General features: G+C 49.6%; 1 protein-coding gene across 7 annotated transcripts in view; it reads left to right on the top strand.

The window, feature by feature from the left end:
* Window positions 1-25039, top strand: part of DRICH1 (aspartate rich 1) — a 51937-nt gene that overhangs the window by 15267 nt on the left and 11631 nt on the right. For 5 of the 7 annotated variants that reach the window (XM_011530210.3, XM_011530209.3, XM_011530208.3 and 2 more), the window contains 4 exons: window positions 676-697; window positions 3336-3415; window positions 3890-3911; window positions 4220-4261. In XM_011530210.3, the coding sequence (XP_011528512.1) occupies window positions 676-697; window positions 3336-3415; window positions 3890-3911; window positions 4220-4261 (166 nt within the window). Of the gene's footprint in view, window positions 1-675; window positions 698-3335; window positions 3416-3818; window positions 3912-4219; window positions 4262-8781; window positions 9099-25039 lie in introns of those variants that run through there. The other 2 variants (NM_016449.4, XM_017028813.1) reach the window with 2 other exon arrangements.

Raw genomic sequence — 25039 nt, 5'->3', positions numbered from 1 at the left:
AAGGAAATGTTGGTTTTCTGATGTGAGAAACAAACTCACCAATCCAATCCCAAAGAATGGACTCAGGCAGCTGAAAAACAGTAAAAGTGAGATTTCCCAGGAGAGGGGGCCCAACAAGCAGGCATTGCCAATCCAAGCAGGAGCCTAGCATATCCTATTCTGGTTTTTTTGCTGACCTAGACCGGTTCAAGGCACTTTGTATTAAACATGGACCACTGTATACATTATTTCCTTCACCTGATTTCTTCCCTTCTCAATTAATTTTGATATAAAAATATGACAAGTCACATTATGTACAACATACACAATTCTCTTTGTGAGGATGGAGTTCAGTGGGAGTTTCTTTTCATCTAATGCATGACACACTAGGATGTTTTTAAATGACAGCATCCATCATCAACTGTAATGCAGAGGCATTTCCTCCACACCAGTTTTTCTCCTTGGATTAGACATTGTGCATTTACCAATCTAAATCAACTTCAAAGATAAATTCTGTGGGAAAAGCTCTTGTCTTTTCCACACATGTCCTCTATGCTAGAATGTTTGGTCTTTGACCTTGACTTACCACTGTCTTACAAATAGTTTTGTGAAGTCATCAAGAGACTAACAGATCTGTGTAAGGGGTGTGGCAGAATTGATCTGATCCTTACAGCATCTTCTTTTATCTCATTGCAGATTTTACCGTCACCTGTCCAGGGTATGTACCTTGAACTAACTCACTTTCTGAGAAACAAACTTGCTGGCTTTAATATATGGAAACCTTAATCTGGGTTCCTGTTAAAAAATATTGGGGGTGTGGTGAGAGCAAATGATTCTGCAAGTGTATAGCTATGAGAAGAGGGGCTGTAGAAATGTGTGTGAACCCAGAGGACCAACCAGGAGATTTTGTGTGAGCCAGTGTGTCTTCACCTGGAGTAGAAGTGAGTGCACCTCTCACTGACTTATCCTGATGTTGGTGGTTCTAAAGATTGGATTCTGGAGAATCTCAGCAGGGAAGAGTATGCCTTTCCAGGTAGGTAAAAAGATTTCAAGTGGGGTCTAATAATACAGCATTTCCAGGAGCCTTCATGTTATACCTGCTGCTTGGCAGGGTTAGGGAAGGTGCAGAAATAGATAAAGAAAAAGTAAATATAGGTCAAGTTTGTTCTTTTTAGAGTTTAATGTCATCATGGTGAGAAGTACTATGTTTATGGGCTTTTGAGTATCCTGTGTTTTCGATCACCTCTTCTTACTTTATTATTTACAGATGATCTTTCTAGAACACCTGCTCTTTTCTGCCTGTGCCACTGCAAAATCTCAAAGCCTTTGGTTTAGGACAGAGTTCTGTCACAGGCAGTTACTTAATTCTGGAGACAAAATTCTTCTGTGGTGTGCCCAGATGCATAGGAGAGATTAATTCTCACCTTATGAACTGTTAGGTTTCATGGCAGCACATTCATTTGTCTGTTTTTCTTGCTTACCTCTGGTATCAAGAGCTCTTCCTGGGCATGGAGGACAGAATGAAAATACACTCTGGGCTCACTGCACAAGCTTCAGTGTCTTGGAAATGGAGGGAGAAGCACAACCTTGAGCACACTGTCAACATTCTATTTCTTTATTTGAATGAGAATATGCAGTTTTACCATCATTTGTGGAAGAGGCTGTCCTTTCCCCATTGTGTATTTTTGACACTTTTGTTGAAGATCAGTTTACAGTGTATGTGTGCATTCAATTCTTGGCTCTCTATATCTGTGAAACTTATGAGTGCCCCCATGCTAGAACCATGCTGTCTGAATTTCTGTATTTGTGTGTGTGTGTGGATTTCAATCTCATGAATGTGCAACCTCTAACACTATTGTTTTAACATCATCATGGTTACTTGAGACATATAAAATTCATTAAAGTTGTAGGATTATGTTTTCCATTTCTGCACAGATGGCTGTTGCCAGTTTGATAGCAGTTCTTGTGAGTCTGTAGATCATCTGTGTAGTATTGTGTGTTAGTCAGGTTTAGTCTTCCTATCCATGAATACAGGATGCCTTTCCACTTATTTGTACCTTCTTTACTTCCGAGGATCTTCATGTTGACAGCTGATAATTAGATTTAACATGACTGATAAAAATTTTTGGTTTCTTATACCAATATTTTATATGTCTGAATGAATAGGTATCAAATAAATATATATGTATATTTTGAGATGGAGTTTCACTGTTCTTGCCCAGGCTGGAGTGCAATGGCGTGATCGCGGCTCACTGCAACCTCTGCCTCCAAGATTCAAGTGATTCTCCTGCCTCAGCCTCCTGAGTAGCTGGAATTACAGGCACTCACCGCCATGCCTGGCTAATTTTTTTGTATTTTTAGTAGAGACGGGGTTTTACCATGTTGGCCAGGCTGGTCATGAACTGCTGACCTCAGGTCATCCACCCACCTCAGCCTCCCAAACTGCTGGGATTACAGGTCTGAGCCAGAGTGCTCAACCAAAAAAATAATTTTTATATAAGATAGCTAACCAAAAATCACCCCCATACTCATGGACTTTTTTTCATGAATTTGTTCATTTGTATTGGTATACATTTCCCCAGTTCAGTAGATAATGTATATTTGAACCTGGAAACTTATCCTCATGGCAGAAAGTGTTCAGAGTCACGTCTCTCAGCTTCACTGGTATAGTTAGAGCAGGCTCTGTGGGCTTGGCCTGTTTGAATGAAGCCTGATTTTTAGGGAATCTCCTCAGGGAGAGTGACACAGGAGCTGCTGTCCAAAAGTGTGTGTAGAAGTTGTTCCAGAAGAAGACTTACAAAGAGGAAATCATGACTATTTTTAATTGTAGCATTTTAATATTGAATTTTTAAAATGATCTCTATGAAAAAGAAAGTGTCATTAATAGAATAATTTGGGTAAAATTGAGTCCATTTCAAAATAAAATATGATTTTAAATAAGTAATAAATCCTTTAAAAGAGATGCTAAATGTAGTATCAGCATAATTAGATCCTAGTGTACTGACACAGTCTTGAATACGTTAAGAAAATCCTGTTGGTTTTGAAGAGTTTCAAAACATTTGAGAGGGAGGAAGGCACTCTTCCACTGACCCTTAGTGTGCATTTTACTTACATTTGGGGGTGATTGTTTTGTGTTGCTTCCTGATGCCTCTAGTACAAGGCCAAGGCCTCCATGTCTCATGTCTTTCATGCTTCCCTTCTTTGCCATCCCTCTTCCACTCAGGGGAATAGCCCAGCATCAACTCAGTCCATGCTTGTTAATCAACCACCTCCATACACCACATCCAGCAAAGCTCCCCGAGTGACTCAGAGTCACCAACCACCGGTGCACTGATCTTTCCTCTGTGTCCTTCCAGCTTGTTCTGAAGATAGCCTGTTTTTAAGATGCTCACTGAGACACAAAGATGAAGAAGAAGAAGATGATGATGACATCCACGTAAGACCTCCCTTTTTTTGTCTTCTACAGCAATGTTGCTTTCCTGATTCCTTTATTTCTCAATTAATTTTGATATGAAAATCTGGCAATGCACATTATGTACACTGTACACTATTCTCTTTGTGGGGCTGGAATTCCATAGGAGTGTCTTCCCAACTTATATGTGGTCCACTAGGGTGCTTTTAAATGACAGCATCCATTATCAACTGGAATACTGAGGCATTTTCCACAACAACAGTTTTCCACCTTGAATTAAGCATTGTGCATTTGCATATAAAATTAAAGGTAAATTCTACAAATAGAGGTCTTGTTTTTCTATAGCTATCCTCTGTGCTAGTCTTTGGGGGACTTTGACCTATGGCTCAATCACTATACTGCCTTCTGGTTTTTTATCGTTGTCCAGAGAATAACAGATCTGTGTGAAGCGCACAGCAGAATCTGATTTTCATAATGTTTTCTTTTATATAATTGCAGATAACAGCTCGGATAGAAAGTGGTATGTACCATGAGATAACTCACTTCCTGAGGGAAAAAACTTGCTAGCTTCAGTGTATAGAAACCTGATTCTGGGGTCCTGCTGGGAAAGAGGCTTGGGGTTCTCGTGAAAGTGATTCTGCCAGTATAGAACTCTGGCCTGAGAAGCTGTAGGAAGGTTTGTCGACCCAGAAGAAAGATTAGGGGATCATGTATGAAGCAGCATGGAGTGGGAGACTAGCTCATCACTCAGCTTCAGCTAAAGTAAAGTAGGAGGAGTGGGTGAGTCACTCTCTCTAATGACTTATTCTGGTGTTTTTGTTTCTAAAGACTTGACGCTGGAGAGTCTAAGTGATGAAGAGATTCATCCAGGTAGGGAACTACGTGCCAGCAAAAACCCAATGGGAAAAGGTTCCCAGGAGCCTCCAGGTTATCCCTGTTGCTTGTGAGGAGGGGCTGAAGGAGGGGGTATGAAATCAGAAAGAAAATGGAAATATGTGTGAGGTCTGGCTTGTTGTTTTCAGAGTTTCTTGGCATCATGGTAAGAACTGTCTCTATGGGCTATGAGGGTGCTGCGTTCATGAGAGATTATCTTTGCAGTGCACCTGCTCTTTTGTGCCCTGTGGAACATCATAGCCTTTGGTTTGGATTAGTCAACACTCCTTGGGAGTGGGCACAAGGGGTATAGGCCTAAGCACTGGGTGTCATCTGTGATGAAGGGAATCTGGGGGACACAACTCTCTCACAGGCATTTCCTGGAACCTAGAGAAACAGTCCTTGTGCTGTGTGCCAAGGGGAAATCGAGAATCACCCTCTGAACTTTCAGGACTTGTTAGTGCACATTCATGTTTCTGTCCTCACTGTGCACTCCTGGTTTAAAGGGATCTCCCGGAGTGGATGGTGGAGTGAATATTCACTCTGGGGTCACTGGTAAAACTCCAGTCTCCTTTGAGGGGAGGAGAAAAGTTTGACCTTGAGCACTTTTCCAGCCTCCACTGCCCAACCCAATCACAGATTCTGAGATGTGGCTTCTTTCTCCCAGTTCTCTAATTTTTTGGGAAGCCAAAAGTTCCTTCCCACAAAAGATAGTATCACACTATTTCCTGTCTTCAAAAATTTGGCTTTGGTTTTGTTCTCTAAGTTGCTATTCATCACTTAAGTTCTAGACTTTTTTTTTTCTTTTTTTTTTTTTTTGAGATGGAGTCTCGCTCTGTCACCCAGGCTGGAGTGCAGTGGTGCGATCTCGGCTCACTGCAAGCTCCGCCTCCCGGGTTCACGCCATTCTCGTGCCTCAGCCTCCCGAGTAGTGGGGACTACAGGTGTCCACCACCATGCCTGGCTAATTTTTTGTATTTTTGGTGGAGACAGGGTTTCACCATGTTGGCCAGGCTAGTCAGGAACTCCTCAGCTCAGGCGATCTGCCCGCCTCAGCCTCCCAAAGTGCTTGGATTATAGGCATGTATCACCATGCCTGGCCAGGGTTATTTTTAATGTAATTGTGGCTATCTCAAGTAATGGTGCTTTGAGTATTTTTGTCAGTGGTTTTGGAATAACACCAGCACTCACTTTTGTGGAGTAGACTGTTAGAAGGGGGCATATCTTTCATTGTTATAAATAATGCCAAACTTTTTCCAAAATGATGACACCAATTCATGCTCCTCTAACAGCATATGTGAGTAGCCGTTTCTCCAAATCCTCACGGACTCTTAGTTTTATCTCTTTCTAAAAATTCCATCACTGTGGTTAGTCTGTCATTTGTATAACATATTACTTAAAATGTTCTCCAAAAAGAAGTGTTGTTTTACTGTAATGACGCAGCGCAGTAGGTTTGTTTACACCCGCCTCACCACAGACACGTAAGTAATGCACTGCGCCGACCTTCTAACAGGTACGACTTTACTGGGGAAAAGGAAATTTTCAGCTTTGTTATAATCTTATGGGACCACTGTCATACATGTGTTCTGTCATTGACCAAAATGTCATTCTGCTACATATGGCTGTAGTTAATAAGCAGGTGCAAGGTGGGCGGATTACGAGGTCAGGAAATCGAGACCATCCTGGCTCACACAGTGAAACCCCGTCTCTACTAAAAATACAAAACATTAGCTGGGTGTGGTGGTGGGCGCTTGTAGTCCCAGCTACTTGGGAGGCTGAGGCAGGAGAATGGCGTGAACCTGGGAGGCGGAGTTTGCAGTGAGCCGAGATCATGCCCACTGCACTCCAACCTGGGTGATAGAACGAGATTCCATCTCAAAAAAAAAAAAAAAATGAATGAAAATAAGAACAGCCATAAATTGGGTATGTGGGCACTTCTGTATGTTGTCTCCTTGAAGTGTCACAATCACTTTGAGACAGAATTAGTTTTGTTTTAGTCATTATACAGATGGGGAATGTGGGTCTCAGTTAAGTAAATTACTCAGGAGACACGCCAAGAGCTGGATCTCTTTAACGCCAAAGGTTAACCTATAAACTAACGTGCTACACCGCCTGTACTGGCAAAATAGAATTACCATAAAATGAAATTTGCTTCCACAACTGGGCATGTGAGTTCGGTGAGGCTGGTGTTACCCATTGCTCCATGGGTCAGAAATTGGTCTTGCTGAAGCTTGGAAGGAGAAGCTCTTGGCTCAGGGAGTGAAAAGTTACTGACAGGTTATATGAGTGCAATTGAAGGGTTATGCGTCCATAGAGCATGTGATGGAATGAGAACAGAGAGAATCAAAGAGAATCACCCAGAGCAGACTCTGTCTCAAAAAAAAAAAAAAAAATTTTGCCCATCTAATAATAGGTTAAAAATTAGATACAGTCAACCACACTGGGTCTTACTATGTAAAAAAAAAAAAGAGTGCTTTTAGACAGTGATAGGAAAGAAGAAAAAAATTAAAATAGTTGATGTGTTCTATGTGGGACTGTGGAATAAACTGCTTTTAAGTAGAGTTTTGTATGAAGTTCTTTAGGCAATAAGTAAAAATGGAAGGGAAACCTAACAGCAGAGAGCAGCCAGGACCACAGTTGCCTGTGGATGCAGAGACTGTGGTGGAGCCTGGAATGCCAAAGACCACGAGTCCCCGCGGGCAGTCAGTTCAGTGACAGCATCACCAATTATCTGATCGGCAGGCACCCCAGTAGCACATGGACAGAACAGGGAGGCCTAAGATGAGTCCAGGCCATGGAAGATCTCCAGTGAGGGGATCTTGGAAGATGTGAAAAGCATCCTGGAGGGGGAGGTAGCCCTGCAGCTTAGCGGTCCAGTTTCCCTCACTGGTCTTACTTGGTATGGCATAGAGGTGCTCACACAGCAGCCCCCAGTATCCTCCCACTTCCCTAAAGGCTTAAACACACCAAGATGTGTATCAGTTTCTTAAAGAGCACAATAGCACATTACTGAACAACCAAAATTGCAGAGAAGTGGCCTCATTTCCTGGAAGTGTTTCAGGGACGGGGAGGTGGTGAGGTGAGGAAATCCTCATGACCAAAGAAACATGAGGCCTGAGGACTGGCGGTTGGGCTCAGCCACATGGAGACCACGTCGTGCCCTACAAGAGCAATCTGGTGGTGTGGTGCTGGGGAGGAGAGACGGCCAGGGCAACAGAGCTTGTGCAGGGATTCAGAACCAGAGGGCTCCTCAGAACGGGCATAGGAGATGGTTCGTAAGGACCTGTCCCACTCCAGTGAAGGCATGAGGGGCAGGGAGGGAGGAAAGCAGCCCCACATAGGAGGATGCCCAGGGAGGGGAAGCAGGTCTTGGGAGAGCTAGGTTTCAGTCCAAGCAAGAAAGGAAAGAATGTTCCAGGGAGGGCCTCCAGAGGGCTTGGAGAAAAGGTTGCAGCAGATGGGGTCAGAAAAGGAGTATTCATGGCCTTGAGGGAGAGGTGAGCTGAGCTTCTTGCAGCCCCTGATGCAAACAGGGATGAAGGACATAGTGAGATTAGTCCTGAATCTGAGGCAGAGAGCGGTGAGGAGGCCGTGAGTTTGGGGAAGGGAGGGAAGGGCCTGGCTGGGAGAAGGCAGGGTTCTGGGCCCTCTACAGTCCTGCCAGGGAAAGTCAGAGCCCAGAGAGGCCCAGGGCTCCCTGCTGACACCTGCACAAACAGGTGTACCCCTGGTCAGGGGGTGCTCTGTAGACTGCTGTGGAGTGAGGGAGCAGCTTCTCCTGGGCACAAGACCCCAGGCACCTGCAGGATGCAGGGCTCCAGGCTCCCTCAGATGCCTGCTGATGGGTCTCCTCTGAGGGGCTGTAAACTGGCTTCCTGGGTACCCACAATGTACAAGGCACTTATTTTCAGTATGATGCCCCCGGCACTGCCAAAATCATACCCATTTATGATAGGCACAATTACTCGCCCCACTTTAGAGCTAGTGAAACTGAGGCACTGAGCAGTTAATCAACTTGCCCCAGACTCCACAGATAAACAGTCAGTGTAGAGCTGGGGGTCTCAACACAGCAGCCTCCCTCCATAGTGTGGGCTTATAGCCACTGGCTGTCCCTCTGCCCTTGTCCAAACTCAGCTGTCTGGGGTGTCAGTTTGTGCCTCTGGGCTACAGTTGAATGACCAGTTGCCTCTTCCAGGCTGGCTCCCATACCTCTCCCGACAGCAGTTTCTTAAATCCCAGAAGCTGATAACGGTAAATGGGCCTTGGAGAATGGAGGCAAGGGTGTGGGGCTCAGGACTTCTAGGTCCCAACATAGGCTGTGTTCCTGGCCCTCCCCTTGTAACAGAGGCACCTCTGTCCCTGGCTGATGAGTTTCCGCATCTGTAATTTCTCCTCAGCCTGGACTGCAGAGGCGGGAGCCCAGGGATGCTGGCGTGGAGGCTGCTTAGTGGGATGATGTCATAGTGCACAAAGCTGGGAGCCTGCTCTCACTAAAAAGGGATTATCTCTTCATCCAGGGTGAAGCCCTTCTGTGGAGCTGACCAGGGTGCTGACCCAAAGGGCAGGCCAGCGCGTGCTGCAGGGTCCCCAGCTTTGCCCCTGGAGGTCTCAATCCTCTCTACATTCTGAGGAAAACTCTTGGTCCCAGCAGAGAGAAAAAGTCCAAGGCTGCTTCCCACCCACCGCCAGCACTAGGTTTGGCCTGTACCATCCAGGACCCAGTGCTTCTGGGCCTGGCATTTCTCCTTTGGCAAGAGAGTGAGAAGAGACGTGACTGTGCTCCACGAGCAGAAAGTGCCATTCCCACTTGAAATAAAGAGACTGAGTGCATTTATTCAGGTGCAGAGGTGGCTGATCAGGTCTGACCCAATGAGGGGCTCAGGGTTTCCACTCAATGACATCGATGGCGATCTGGGTCACCTTCTATAAGGCCTCGCCCTCATAAGCCTTGCTGTCAGAGTCCTCCTCCAGGACACGGAAGGTGTGCATATGGGCCTGCAGGACCTTGCAGCCCTCAGGGGCCTCTGGCAGCATGGTGAGGGCCTTGGTGGCCTTCAGGCACACCCTGCCCATGCATGAGTGTAGCAGCTTCAGGAGCAGGCTGATGGCTTGTGCGTCCAGGGCCACCTACTTCTCGGCAGGCCACCAACACGGAATTTCTAACAGCCTGGGGGGGCCTCTTCTCACCCCCTCTCACCCTAGCCCTCTTTTGACCCTGGTGCCTGCAGAGTCTCAAAGGGAGGTGCCACCCTGTCCCACTGCTGCAGGGATTCCCTGATTCATTCATGCAGCGAGATGCTGAGGCAAGAGCTGGGTTTCCCCACCTCAGCAGTCTTTTGGGCCAGGTAATTCTCAACTTGGGGCCAAAGCTCCCCTGCTGTGACCTTTGGGTCTGGAGCAGCAAACAGAGCAAAGCCTTGTCCTCAGGAGCTCCCCTTGGGGATGACACAGAAAGTGATGGCAAGGATGGTGGTCACAGTGGACATAGGAGGATGCAGGGAGGCTGGGGAGGCTGCATTTTCAGAGAGAAAGTTCTCTCCTGGAAAGCCACTCTCCTGATCCCATGGAAAGGGACCTCTGTGCAAACCTAAGAATGATGGGGCGGGGATGGGGCCTGGGAACATGCATTTCCACAGACCACCCAGGGTCTGGTTCAGGGGCCACACTTGGAGAAATACCCGGGCCTCTAATGAGACTCTCAGAAGAAAGAGAAACCTGGACTTAGGGAAGGCAAGAGGCCCCCCCCCGCCCCCGCCAGCAAGAGGACATGGCCACGGCCAAGGCAGGGACTCTGGGGGTCGGTGACTGGCCCATCCTCACAATGAGGGTCCCAGTGTGGGAACACTCCCCAACCACTGCAAGCTCTGAGTCTTTGTGCTCCCCCAGTTTTGAGGCCAGGATGTAGACTGTGATCCTATGTGACCTGGACTGAGACACAAGACACTGTGCCTCCGTTTCCTCACCTGTGAAGGCAGACATCGCCTCCCTGGAGGGTTGTCTAAATGTGAGGTTTGGAGACAATGCCTGGCACACAGGACACACTCAGTGACCACTGGGTGTCAGGATCGTCACCAGTGCTTCTCCTGTTCTCGCCTTCCTCATGGGGTGGAGGTGCCAGACCCTCTCCTGCATCCTCCTGCAGGCAGGAGACAGCGGGTCCAGGACGAGCTCCCGGAACGCTCCTCCCTCTACAGCTTCCACATCAGTGAGCGGATCAGACCCTTGCTGATGACATCGTGGGCCCCTGCACAACAGGAAAGGGCACTGAGGGTGGACCGGCCACACCCCCTCCCATGCTGGTTGGCCTGCAGGGTGCAGGAAGGATTTTGCAGAGCAACTTGGTGGGTTTGACAGGAGAACTTGTAAGTTCCCCATCACCCCACGAAGCTGCCTGGCCAGGGGCCTGAGAAGCCAGCAGGAGGCTGTGGGTGGGTGACAGCCATGTCAGCAGTTGAATGAGAGGGCAGGCGCAGAGGACCCAGGGAGGGCCAGCCTTTGGTCGCTGGCATCTCAGGGGGCATCTGCCGTAGCAGGGCACAGTGGCCTGAGAGGCAGCAGCCAGCCCTGGGAGATCCCGCACCTCACTGCTGTGGGGCCCAGGCACACCAGGAGACCCTCCGCTCTTCCCTACCACTGCCCCAGAGTAGGGGAGCCAAGAAAGCCCCCGCTTCCCACCCCAAATATTTCAAAGGAGTTGGAGACTCACGCCTGGTCAGACCAGCCTTTGAGAAGAGCTTGGGTTCGACTCCGAGATGGAAGACCTAGAGTGGAGGCCAGTGTCTCACACACCAAAAAGAGCTGCGCCCCAACCGACGCCAATGGGAAGCCATAGGCTCTGGCCAAGGGGTCTTGAAGGGACCTGGGGCTCTATGGGAAGGGGGGCATCACATGGCACAGCTCGGGTACAGGTACTGGGAGAAGTACAATGAGGCAAGGCTCCCCCATAAACAGGCCCCACCTGGCTCCTCCCAGCTGGAGCTGGAAGCCTGGGAGGGAAGTGGTCAGTCCAGCCCCAAAAGCCTGTGGGGCAGGTAAGGGGTGAGAGATTTTATGGAATGTGGAGGCCTGTGGAGGAGACAAGCCAGAGGGTTGAGGAGGAACATCAACCCCTAGAGGGGCCTGGGCAGACACTAGCTTTCACTAAAGGGTTACTATTTTGTCCATCATGAACTTGTTTGAATTAATTTTTTTTTTTTGAGGTGGGGTCTCACTCAAAAAAAAAAATTTTTTTTTTTTGAGGCGGGAGTGCAGTGGCGTGAACTCAGCTCACTGTAACCTTCGCCTCCCAGGTTCAAGCGATTCTCCTACCTCAGCCTCCCAAGTAGCTGGGCTCACAGGTGCACACAATGGCTGGCTAATTTTTTTATTGTAAAGATGGCATTTCGCCATGTTGGCCAGGCTGATCTCGAACTCCTGACCTCAAGTTATCCACCCACCCCGGCCTCCCAAAGTGCTGGGATTACAGGCATGAGCCCATAATTAACCTGTGCCCGGCCTAATTTTTATTTTTAAATATCATATTAAAATATTATTTATCTTGATTCGTGAGATTTCTGGCCCCTGTTAAATTTGGCACCAAGGCCAGCATCTCACTGGCCTCCCCCCAGTCCTCTGGATAGGGCAGGAATGGAGGCAGGGGTGGGAATGGAGGCAGGGGTGGGAATGGAGGCAGGGGCAGGATGTCCACAGAGGATGGTGGCCGCTGTCCCCACAGGGCACCCAGGCTCCTCCTTTCTCCCTTCCTCTCCCCCTCCTCCTCCTCCTCCCACTATGTATGTGCCGCCTCCACACCCTTTCCCCCACTGGGCAGGGGCCACCTCCCCGAGCACCAGGTGGTGGGCTCCAGCTGATGTTGTGGGGGCCTTCCCTGGGGTCTGTGGGTCACTAGACCTCAGCCAGAGTCACCTCCTAGGACTGACCCCTAGGAAACCTAAGCCTACACGGTGCTGGTGCCTCTGAGGGAAAGGCCCTGGGGAGGACCTGTTGGGGGGACATGGTGCGGCCCCTCTCCTTGTGTGACCCCAGTCCTTGCCCTCTGTGTGTGGTGGGAGGTCCCCAAAGCACTGAGCATCTGGGTTCATTTACAACCTTCTGGGTCACAATGGCCTGTTCATCACTGGTGAACTTTATACCCCAGGTGATAATCATTTCAGGGACAGAACCTCCATCTCAGTGACCTCATAGTCAGGTCCTGCTGTGATCCCCATTGTACAAATAGAGATAGAGGCCAGAGTGGTGAGGCGACCCGCCCAACTCACTCAGCTCATATCGCAGAGCTGGCAGAGTTCATGAGTACCTTGGACAATTGCACCAAATGCAGTGGACTGGGACAACTAGATCAAGATGTCATTTCACAGAAATAAAGGGAAGGCCATGTACTTTATTCCAAATGTCAACTCTGAGAGGAACCAGGTAATAAAGATAGTGTCAGCTTAGCAGCTCTAGTGATTGAGAAAGTCATAAGGCTTTAGCTAGTCCAACTGCAGCTCTTCCCTGTCCCTGTCCCCTGAGCTGATGGAGCTGACATGTGCACCTCTGCAGCCTCAGTTTCCCCTTCTGCAAAGTGAGGTTTCTGATTGGTGAGGGCCTTGCAGCCTGATGCCCTACCCCTGCAGTGGCCGTGGTGAGGGCTTCCACGAGGAAAGCTGACCCTGTGCAACACCAGCAGTCCAGCAGTCCCTCTGTCAGGGGAGGGTTAAAACTAGTGGGTGCCAGGCTGAGACCAGGGTCTCAGTGTCCTGCAGGGACTTCTAGGCAAGGAGTCCCCATCAGCGTCAGGCTTTGTGCCAGGGCTGAGGTCCCAGAGGAACCAGACTTACCCCAACTCAAGCACACAAAATGAGGGTGTCGTGTGAGGTGACAGCCATATGCAGTGTGATGCTTGCAGGACAGAGACTGGGACAGGGAAAGCCTGAGGGGTCTCCACAGAGGATGAGTGACAGGTGCAGGGGACACCTGGCAGGGGACTCCCAGGCATAGAGCCTCGAGAAGCTCCAGGCGGCCCACAGGGCTGGACCAAGTGAGTCCTGGGGCCAAGGTGGTCTGAGAGCAGGCTAGACAGGTGCCAGGCCCAGACCCAGAGAACTCATCCCTGGAGGACAGACTCATCTGGGGAGTCCTGGAGGCTGTTTGCAGGGAATCGATGAGACCAGAGTTGGATGGGTGGGCAGGGGTGTGAATCCAGAACTAGAGACACCCCATGGAGGGTGTTGTGGTGACCCAGGCAGTTTGACTGATATGAGGACAGATTCAGGAGAAGGGGGAACAGGAGAGGGATGAGCAAGGACAGCCCTGGGCTTTTTTGATGAACAGTTAACACTGGGATCATGTCAGCACATCCTGTATTTTAAACAAAATGCCCAAGGGAAGTGGTGGTCTGCAAAGTGTCCCCAGAAGGCAGCAAGGGCTTGGCTTCGTCTCCCCCAAGGCCATCCACTCATCGTCTTGCTCATAAAGGCTTACTAGGGGCCAGGCTGGGGGACACAGGGAGGGTGGGCCAAACGCAGGGGGACTGTGCAGTCAGGAGGACAGATCATGGCCCATTTTTGGAGCAATAAAGGGGGAGGGGGTCCCCCCTCTGCAGTGGGGGGATGCCAGTACTGGTCTCACAGATCAAGCAGCACTGGCTGGTGCTGGGCGCCCCTCAAAGGCAGCAGTGCCAGTGGAGAGGAGACCAAGGGCTGTGGCGGGGAGCTCCTGGGGGACACGGAGGGAGAGGCTGACAGACCACAGGGTCCTTGTGGCCCGCCTTTATCCTCAGATCCAGGAGGAGTCTCTGGAGGGATTTGGGTAGGAGACTGATCATCAGATTTGTGTGCTTCTGATGAGAGGCTGGTGTAGAGCAGATTAGAGGAGGGAGGCCCAGGGCGGAGAGTGGGGGTAGCCAGGTCCAGGGGAGGTGAGGAACCTGGAGGAGGCACAGGTTTAAGCCACCCAGGGGCCCAGATTGCTGTGAAATGGGAGGGTGAAGCTGAATTGGGGGCACCAGAGGTTGATGGGGAGTAGCGGGCATTCTCGGGGGCTGCCCGAGGGAGACTGGATTTCAGAAACATGTATGAAAAATCATAAAAATGTACATGCCTTTTAATCAAGTCATTCCACTTCGAGAAATTTGTTTTGGGGGGATAAAACTTCAGCTAAAAATTCTTAATGTGTGGGAGGCTGAGGTAGGAGAATCGCTTGAACCTGGGAGGCGGAGGTTGCAGTGAGCCAACATTGTGCCACTGCACTCCAGCCTGGGCGACAGAGAGAGACTGTCTCAAAAAAAAAAAAAAAAAAAGTAAATGTGTTCATGGAGGGAAAAGTGGAAACAGCCTAAATGTCGAATGTTAGGGGGAGGTAAAATAAACTATGTTATATCCATGGTAGGGAACATTAAACACTTAAGATAAATATGTTTTTGACAACTGTAATGACATAATAAACATTTTAAAACATTTAAACTTTTGAAACATTTCTACTTTATGGTAAAGTTTACTCTTTTTGGTGTAGCTAATAAAACCTAGTATAATTTTTAAAAAATCATTGACTCATGTAACTATCACAATTGAAATACAGAATATTTCCACCCCCCCCCAAATTTCTCTAAGCACCCCTTTTTTAGAGACACAGTCTCACTCTGTCACCCAGGCTGGTGTGCAGAGGTGAATCTCGGCTCACTGCAACCTCCGCCACCTGGGTTCAAGCGATTCTCTTGCCTCAGCCTCTCGCGTAGCTGGAATTACAGGTGTGTGTCACCACACCCGGGTAATTTTTGTATTTTTAGTAGAGACAGGGTTTTGCCATGTTGGCCAGGCTGGTCTCAAATTCCTGGCCCCAAGTGACCCACCTGCCTCAGCCTCCCACAGTGCTGGGATTACAGGGGTGAGCCCCTGCTCTCAGCCTCCCACAGTGCTGGGATTACAGGGGTGAGCCCCTGCTCTCAGCCTCCCACAGTGCTGGGATTACAGGGGTGAGCCCCTGCTCTCAGCCTCCCACAGTGCTGGGATTACAGGGGTGAGCCCCTGCTCTCAGCCTCCCACAGTGCTGGGATTACAGGGTGAGCCCCTGCTCTCAGCCTCCCACAGTGCTGGGATTACAGGGGTGAGCCCCTGCTCTCAGCCTCCCACAGTGCTGGGATTACAGGGGTGAGCCCCTGCTCTCAGCCTCCCACAGTGCTGGGATTACAGGGGTGAGCCCCTGCTCTCAGCCTCCCACAGTGCTGGGATTACAGGGGTGAGCCCCTGCTCTCAGCCTCCCACAGTGCTGGGATTACAGGGGTGAGCCCCTGCTCTCAGCCTCCCACAGTGCTGGGATTACAGGGGTGAGCCCCTGCTCTCAGCCTCCCACAGTGCTGGGATTACAGGGGTGAGCCCCTGCTCTCAGCCCTTACGTTCCTTTTACATTCAAACCCTTTCTGTACCCCAACCACGGCAACCACTGGTCTCTTTCTGACCCTATACTGTTGCTTTTTACAGAATATCACAGAAATGCAAACGTAAAGGATGTGACCGCTTTTTAAATTAAACTTTTTATTTTGAGATAATTGCAGCTTCTCATGCAGTTGTGAGGAATCATACAGAGGGATCCCAGGTACTCCGGCCAGTTCCCTCAACGGTAGCACCTTGCAGCTACAGTAACGGATCACAGCCAGGAGATTGACATTGATACAGCAAGAAGGGAACACTTCCCTCCCAAACATCCCTCATGTTGCCCTTTCACAGGAACACTCACTTCCCACTGTCCCAAACCCCTCCTTAGCCCCTGGCAACTATTAATTTGGTCTCCACTTGTGTAATTTTGTTATTTCAAGAATGTTCTGCACATGGAATCATACAGTATGTGATTTCTGGGGACTGGCTTTCTCCCACTCAGCATAGTTTTCTGGGTGTTCCTCCAGGTGGCTCAATTGCAACCTAGTTTGTTCATTTTTAATGCTGACTAGGAGTCTAAGTATGTAACCTTCTGAGTCTGGCTTCCTGAGTTCAGTGTAACAATGTTGTAATTCATCCCAGTTGCCTTATGGATCAATAGTTTGTTCCCTGTTGTTGCTGAGTATGATTCCATTTATGAAGGTATCACCATGTGTTTAGCCATTCACCAGTTGAATGACAATTGGGCTGTTTCCACGTGTGTGTGTGTGTGTGTGTGTGTGTGTGTGCGCGCGTGCGTTAGGTCAAACCAGATGTTTCTGCTTATTGCCAATGGTGAATAAAACCAGTATAAATATTTGCAAACAAATTTTTGTTTAAACATAAGTTTTCATTCCGTTTGGATAAAAACCTAGGAGTAGAGTTTGCTTGATATGCATAAGCGTATGTTTATTAGAAATTGCCGGCCAGGTGCGGTGGCTCACGCCTGTAATCCCAGCACTTTGGGAGGCCGAGGTGGGTCGATCACGAGGTCAGGAGATCAAGACCATCCTGGCTAACACGGTGAAACCCCGTCTCTACTAAAAATATAAAAAATTAGCTGGTCATGGTGGCGGGTGCCCATAGTCCCAGCCACTCAGGAGGCTGAGGCAGGAGAATGGTGTGAACCCGGGAGGCAGAGCTTGCAGTGGGCCGAGATCGCACCACTGCACTCCAGCCTGGGCGACAGAGCGAGACTCCATCTCAAAAAAAAAAAAAAGAAAAAAAATTGCCGAATCGTTTTTAGAGGGGAGGCTAGTGGGGGTGGGGACATAGGGTAGGGGAGGGTTCGGTTAATGAAGCCTCCACCAGCCCAGCTGGGAAATGGGCCTGTATCCAGCACCGAGGTGCCCAGGCCCTGTGCCCAGACCTGAGCTAGACAGGGTCTCAAGATCACAGTCAGTCAAGGGACAGAAGCGGCATCTTCTGCTCCAGAAGCTTCTGTTCATGCAGGCCCTACCCCCTTCTCAGGGATCCCCAGGAACTGTTCAAAATGCTAGGTGCAGAGCTATGGCCAACTGTAGGGCACAGCCAGACACTCAGAGCTCAGAGGGACCCAGGGTGGGCAGGATTGGCTGAAGCTGGAAGTGGGTCCCTGAAGGTCACAACCCACCTGCTGCTTCCAAACCTCAGACATTTCAGGGGGCTTGGCCAGTTACAGGGAGGGAAAGGGAAATGGGGACCCTTTCAATTGCTGCCCTGGGACCCTAAGGTCTTGGGTAGTGACAAAGTACCTGGAAGCACAGCTGCCCCCAAGAGGCCTCCCAGGGTCCCTCCTTCATGGACAGGACTTCAGACTGGACAGTTACTTATCCGTTTTTCCATCAGTCTGTCCATCCATATATCTGTCCGTACACACACACACCCATCCTTCCACAAACCCTCTGACACCTCCTGGGGCCTGACCTATATAGACCCTCAGCTCCTGATGTCCCAGGCAAAGCGGGATCAACCTAGCCCAGCCCCAGGTGAGACCTGAAGTGTGCCTGATCATGCACCGTGGGAGAAGGGGGCTGTGGCACTGGGGTCCCCTGGGAGTACTTGTCCCTGCCCAGTACAGAGCTCAGGCTGCAGATGAGACCCTCTGTGAAGACGATGAGGGGCAGGGGATACTGGGGATCCCATGTCAGCAAAGGTGGCCTGGGGGCAGTGGCAACCTCAGACAGGCCTGGGAGCTTGAACCAGGGCTGGAGGGCAGAGGGAGGAAGGGCATGCTGGAAGATGGGTGTGAGCAAAGGCACAGGAGTGACCTCAGCGCCCCTTCTCTCAACAGGGATATGGCAGGTGCACATGGGCCCCCATAAAAGCACCCTGAGGGATCATCTCAGAGACCCTAGAACCTGTCTGCCATACCACGTGCCCTGCCACCCTGCTCACCACCCAAAAATTCCTTCCATTCTGCCGCATGGCTGGGCCCTGCACTGGGCCAGGCCTTAATAGGGGCAGGGGACAAGGGAGAGAGCAGGTCTGGGCCCTGAATGGGACACAGGCAGTGACCACCTGGTAAAGAAGACTGAATGGGCAGAGGATGCAGGGAGGCAGGTCCAGGGCAGGGCCCTGCGGGGTGCATAGGAGTTCTCTGGGTTGGACGGTAGACCAGGTCTGTGAACACGCACACTGGGCTGGGCCAGCAGGCTGACGTGTCCTAAGCCCCAGAGCCCTGCAGAGGGGCAGGAACAGGGCCCAGAGGGAACAAGGCTGAGAATAAAGGCCCTGAATGCCTCAGATCTGGCCAGATCTGCAACTCCTAAAGGCAGCTGTGCCTGTGTTGAGACGCTATTGAGTGGCCTTATTGTCCCTGTACCATTTATAAAATATGGGACACGTGTTGTCCAGCTGAGCCACTCATGGATTCTGTGGGGCCCATGGTCAGGATCTTGGTCCCATTTAACAGGTAGGATAACTGAGGCCTAGAGCAGTTAAATCCCAAAGAATGAGGCAGAGCTAGCTCAGGGGTGTCCTGACTTTCAGGCCAGAGCCTCTCACTGACAAATGGGGAAACCGAGATCAGGAGAGGAAGGGGCCTGCCCAAGCTCACATCGGAGCACACCTGTATGGAGCACACCTGTATGGAACACACTTGTATGGAGGGCGCCTGTATGGAGCACTGCCCTCTGCCAGGCACCAGATATGCTCAGGTGGGGTGACCTCCCTTTACCATTCCCCAGCTCTGACCCCATTTCGGGGATGCAGAAAAGAGGCCTCAGAGCAGAGTAAGGCCGAGTCAGGGCTACAGAGCCCGATGGCCACCCCTCCCCTGAACGGCTAGGAGGAGGGAGGGCAGCTGGCAAAGGCCTGCAGGAGCCCAGAGCGTGTTCTTCCAAGTGGAGCCTCTGCTGTGGGAGCCCCAGCCACAGGGTGAGACAGAAAAGGGGTCCCGCCCAAGCTCAGCCCTCAGCAGCCCTTGACCTCGGGCAGTTTGACTCCCTTCAGTGGGCCTCAGTTTCCTCCTCTGTACACGGGGGTGATAACAGTCTCTCCCCACAGGTTTGTTTTGGGGATTAAATGAGAATGCCTAGGGAGTGCCAGGCCCACGGGGACCCTCACCTACCCCCAGCCATTGCTGTTCTCTCCTCAGTTCTTGCCTGGGCCTGTGGGTGACATGCTGTGTGATCCTGGGCAAGTACCTTTCCCTCCCTGGGCCCAGCCTTCACTCTGGTCAAGGAGAAGCTGGGTCAGGGACCTGAGGACCAGCCATTCAGGAAACCAGTAGCTTCCTGGGTGAAGGGGTTGGCCAGGGAGGCCTGGAGGGACAGCGAGGTCTGAGGTGAGAGTAGGGTGGGGGCCAGGCCAAGGGATGGGGGTGGGGGATTCACCTTCCCAGCTCCGGTGGCCCTGCCTGCAGCTGGCTGACCTTGGGAATCCCCAGGCTAAGGTTAATCTTAACACTGACCTAAACCAGAACTCAGGGTGACAAGGGAAAAAACTAAGGCAAGGAGAAGCCAAGGCTGCCGCGTGGGATGTGGGACAGGAGAAAAACAAGACAGATGTGGCCAGGGAGAGGGGGAGCGTATTTCAGGGCTGCACTGGGTGTTCATGCAGCTCACAGGTGACGGTGGAACAGCCCTCTCCCTACATCCCACCTGCTCCCAGCCCCAGCCCCCCACCAGGCCTGATGCTGCCCCCTGGCTGCCTTCCCACACCCTGAGCTCCACCTTGGGTCCTGGAGCTCTGGAGGACCTGGCTTCAAGGGATCTTACCTACCCCTTCCAGGACCCTCTTTGACTAAGGAAAAGCTGTGGCCTCCCAGAGATGCAGCCTTTTCCCAAGTCTCCAGACTCTTCATCCCATCTCATCCCCAGCTTAGTGCCTGGCGCATACACGGCTCCCAACCAACAGTTTATCTGTGTATTTATGTACTTTTCTTTTCTTTTTTCCTTTTTTTTTTTTTTTTGAGACAGGGTCTCCTTCTGTCACCCAGGCTGGAGTGCAGTGGTGTGATCATGGCTCACTGCAGCCTTGACCTCCAGGGCTCAATAGATGCACTGACCTTAGCTTCCTGAGTGGCCGCATAGCTGCACCTATAGGTGACCGGCTAATTTTAGATTTTGTTTTGTTGTGTTGTGTTGTAGAGACTGGGTTTCACCATGTTGCCCAGGCTGGTCTCAAACTTCTGGGTTCACACACTTCACCTGCCTTGGCCTCCCAAATTCTGGAATTATAGATGTAAGCCACTGTGTCCTGCCAACAGTTTAAATGAGGGAGGGATGGAGGGAGGGAGGAAGGAAAGAAGGAAGGAGGCAAGGCAGGAAGGAAAAGAAAGATGGGTCAGTCAATGAAAGTTATTACAAGAGGCAAAGAAGGACATTATATATTGATAAATAAGTTACTTCATCAAGAAGATGTAACAATTAGTACATGTGCGTCTAACCACAGAGCCCCCAAGTATAGGAAGTAATGACTGATGGAATTGAAGAGAGAAACAGACAGCTTCGCAATAATAGTTGCAATACTATACTGTCAATACTGGCTAGAACAATGAGACAGAAGATCAATAAAGAAGTAGAGGACTTGAAAAACTATAAATCAGCTAGACCTGACAACATCTACAACAGACTCACAGAATACAGATTCTTCCCAAGCACACATGGAATGTTCTCTGGAATATACCATGTATTAGACCATGAAACAAATCTCATTGATTTAAAAGCACTGAAATCAAAGTATCTTCTCTGCAATAGAATGAAGGTAGAAATCAATAACAAAGGCAATCTGAATTCAGGAATATATAAAAATTTAAACACACTCCTAAACAATCAATGAATCAAAGCAGAAATTACAAGTGATGTTCAAAAATTCTTTGAGATAAATGAAAATGGAAACAAAGCACACCAAACTTGTAGGAGGCTGTGAGACCAGCGCTCAGAAGAAAATGCAGAGCGGGGAGGCCACGGTGGGAAGATGGCATGAGGCCAGGAGTTTAAACCAGCCTGGGCGACAAAATGAGACCCCTTTGCACAAATAAAAATAAAAATAAACGGGGGTGCCATGTACCTGTGGTCACAACTACTTGCGAAGCTGAGGTGGGAGGGTCCTTGAGTCCAGTAGATCAAGGCTACAGTGAGCTGTGATCGTGTCACTGCACTCCAGCCTGGATGCAAGACTCTGTCAAAAGGGGAAGGGGAAGAGGAAGGGGACAACCTTTGAACTGCACCCCTGAGGTTGGACCCGGGGAGAACTGGCCTCACAGGAAAGAGAAGAGGTGCTAGATGGAATCAGACTCTCAGAAGAGACAGAAAGGAGATGAAGGGAAACACGGAGAAATGACTAGAACCCACTGTGGAAGACTCTGTGTGCAGCAAAAATGACGTAATGTGATAATGAAGGGACAGTTTCTATCTCCTAGAGAGCAGAAGTGCCCCTGAGAGCTCCGGTGAGAAGACAGGCTGTGGGTTCCTGGGATTTCAGACATTTGGAGCGGGAATGCAGGGATGTAAGATGATGTGTTTTCCAGTCCCCTGGCCAGCAATGATGCTTCTCAGTTATGAACGTCCCCCATGGAGAGTCCTAGGGTCTTCCTGTCTGAGTCAACTTGTCCTCTCAGTTCCTCCTCCCTAGATCTCTTTAGAATTATTTCCTGGCTTAGGGTTTCCTGAGAGTGGAGGAGAAGGAGCTATGGATGCCCCCCTTCCTCCCTCACCATGGTTGGAAGTCTGGCCAAGGCCACTCATTAATGGACAGGGGACCTTTCCTATCTCCTCAGGGGCAGCCTCCTGAGTTGGTCTGACCCCCAAAACTTTGCACACCATCTGCACATGGAAAATGTGTGTCTGTTTATTGATTTATGAAGCCACCTAGAAAGATTAGCTATAAACAATGTGTTTACTTAATTTTAGGATACATTTTCAGAGGCAACTAGGCAGAAAGGTGAACTTTCCCATCACTTAGACCTCAAGTCAGCAGCTCATGCAGCAGTCATTGCTCGGGTGACTCTGAGTGACCTGTTCTACCTCTAGAGCTGACGTTTCTGTTCTGGTTAGGCTAAATGGAGGAAATAAAAATTCTCCAAACATTTCATTAAGATTCACTGGGAAACAGTACCCTGAGTGCTTAGAGCTGCACTCCTCACACAGAAGACACAGTAAGGGTTAGGGAACCTTCTCAGGGGATGAATACACACGAACTTTCACCACAGCGACCAAGAGCTTATATTGGGAGTCTGATTCCGGCCTCTAGGGAAGCTGGAAAATCCAAAACCAATCTCATTAAACTATTTCATCTACTCATAGGAGGAGGTCCAGTTCTTATGAAACTGCCAACCCTTCCTTCTCTCCCTCTCCTCACCCTCCACCCACAGGACAGGGCCGGGCACACGGAGGAGGGACACTGAGGACCTGGGTGGTGGAGACCCTGGCTTTCCTCTCTTCTCACCCATGGTGGGCTCTGCTTATCCTCATCTTTTCTTCCCCAGTTAGGGTTTCCTGGGAGCCTGCGAGTTGTCTGGGGACTTCATCAACATTTGCACAAATGCCCCAGACTCTGCTCACCTCTTTCAAAGGGGCTCCTCCCTCTGAGCCTGCAATGTCTGTGTGATTGGGAGGTGTCACCTCCAGGCCCTGAAACCACAGCCCTCTGAGGATCTCTGGCCCAGGTCTGAGGTTCCTCTACAAGCTTTGGAGATGAACGAAGCCTCTGCTTTAACAGGAATAGATCCTGTTTATCAAAGCATGTAAAGGCCAGATGTTCGTTTCTATGTTAGGGATCCTGAAGAGTTGTTTCAGAGTGGATGAATGACTGTCACATCCTCAGTGGCCCTGCCACTCTGACAGATGAGTAGTCACTTGTCATACATCTTGTTCCCTTGAACTTCAACAATGACTAAAAATACAAAAAATTAGCCAGGCGTGGTTTCACTCTGGAGTGTAGTGGTGCGATCTTGGCTTACTGCTATCTCTGTCTCCCAGGTTCAAGCAATTCTCCTGCCTCAGCCTCCCGAGTAGCTGGGATTACAGGCACTTGCCACAACACCTGGTTAATTTTTTGTATTTTTAGTAGAGATGGGGTTTTGCCGTGTTGACCAGGCTGGTCTTGAACTCCTGATCTCAGGTGATCCACCTCCCTTGGTCTCCCAAAGTGCTTTGATTACAGGCGTGAGCCACCACACCCAGCCAACTTTTTTTTGTTGTTGTTGGCTGCTGCTTTCAAGATTTTTTGTCACTTGCCAGTTTGATGATAATGTGTCTTGGTGTGGATCTTTTTGTGGTTAATTCTCTTGGAGTTCATTGAGCTGCTTTGATTTGTAGTTTCACGTCTTTCTCCAATTTGGGATAGTTTTTGGACATTTTTGCAAATAATCTCTGTTCCTTCCTCTCTCTTCTCCTTTGCTGAATGCATAATGTGTATCTTGGTCCTCTTGATGGTGTCCCATAGTCCCTTAGGATGCCTTCACCTTTGTTTGCTCTTTTCTTTTTTTTTTTTTGAGACAGAGTCTTGCTCTGTCGCCCAGGCTGGAGTGCAGTGGTGACATCTCAGCTCACTGCAACCTCCGTCTCCCGGGTTCAAGCGATTCTCCTCCTTCAGCCTCCAGAGTAGCTGGGATTACAGGCATGCGCCACCACGCCCGGCTAATTTTTTTGTTTTTGTTTTTGTTTTGTTTTGTTTTGAGATGGAGTCTTGCTCTGTCACCAAGCTGGAGTGCAGTGGCGCAATCTTGGCTCACTGCAACCTCTGCCTCCTAGGTTCAAGCAGTTCTGCCTCAGCCTCCCGGGTGGCTGGGACTACAGGCGCGCGACATCATGCCCAGCTAATTTTTATATTCTTAGTAGAGATGGGGTTTCACCATGTTCACCAGAATGGTCTCGATCTCTTGACCTTGTGATTCGCCTGCCTTGGCCTCCCAAAGTGCCGGAATTACAGGCGTGAGCCACTGTGCCTGGCCTAATTTTTGTATTTTTAGTAGAGAAGGGATTTCACCATGTTGGCCAGGCTGGTCTCGAACTTCTGACCTCAGGTGATCTGCCCGCCTCAGCACTCCCAGAGTGCTGGGATTACAGGCATGAGCCACCGCACCCGGCCTGTTTGCTCTTTTCTGTTTGCTCCTCAGACAAAGTAATTTCAAATGTACTTTCTTCAAGTTTGTTCATTCTCTCTTCTACCTGCTTGAACCTTCCATTGACTTCTTCTACTGAATTTTTCAATTTAGTTATTGTATTTTTCAGCTCTAGAATTTTTGTTGAGGTTCTTTTTATATCTCTATATTGATATTCTCATTTTATTAATATATAATTTTGCTGATTTCCTTTAGTTCTTTGTCCATGTTTTCCTTTAACTGTTTGAGCGTATTTAAGATGGTTTTAAGGTCTTTGTCTAGCAAGTCTGATACCTGTGTTTCTTCAGGAATAATTTCGTTTTTTTTTTCTTTTTTTTGAGGTGAAGCCTCACTCTGTTGCCAGGCTGGAGTGCAGTGACACGATCATGGCTCACTGCAACCTCCACCTCCCGGGTTCAAGGAATTCTCCTGCCTCAGCCTCCCGAGTAGCTGGGATTACAGGTGTGTGCCATCATGCCAGCTAATTTTGTGTGTGTGTGTGTGTGTGTGTGTGTGTGTGTGTGTGTGTGTGTATTTTTAATAGAGACAGGGTTTCACCATGTTGGCCAGGCTGGTCTCAAACTCCTGACCTCAGGTGATCTGCCTGCCTCAGGCTCCCAAAGTGCTGGGATTACAGGTGTGAGCCACCTGGCTGGAAGTCTTATCTTAAAGCTTGAAGCCTCTCCCTTCTATTAGTGGCCCGCCCCAGAGGTGCCCAATATCAGCCTCTCTCTGCCCATCTTCCTTTCCCACTGTGCAGACTGGGCCCTGGAGGGGTGGGCTCTGCCCCTGAAGAGGCTGTGGAGTAGGCCACCCAGCAGCACTTGCTGTGTGAACAAGTGACTTTCTCTTGCCTGT

Source organism: Homo sapiens, chromosome 22, assembly GCF_000001405.40.
Source record: "Homo sapiens chromosome 22, GRCh38.p14 Primary Assembly".
NCBI lineage: Eukaryota > Metazoa > Chordata > Mammalia > Primates > Hominidae > Homo > Homo sapiens.
Note: the sequence above shows the minus strand (reverse complement) of the source record. Positions and strands in the feature narration are given on the sequence as shown.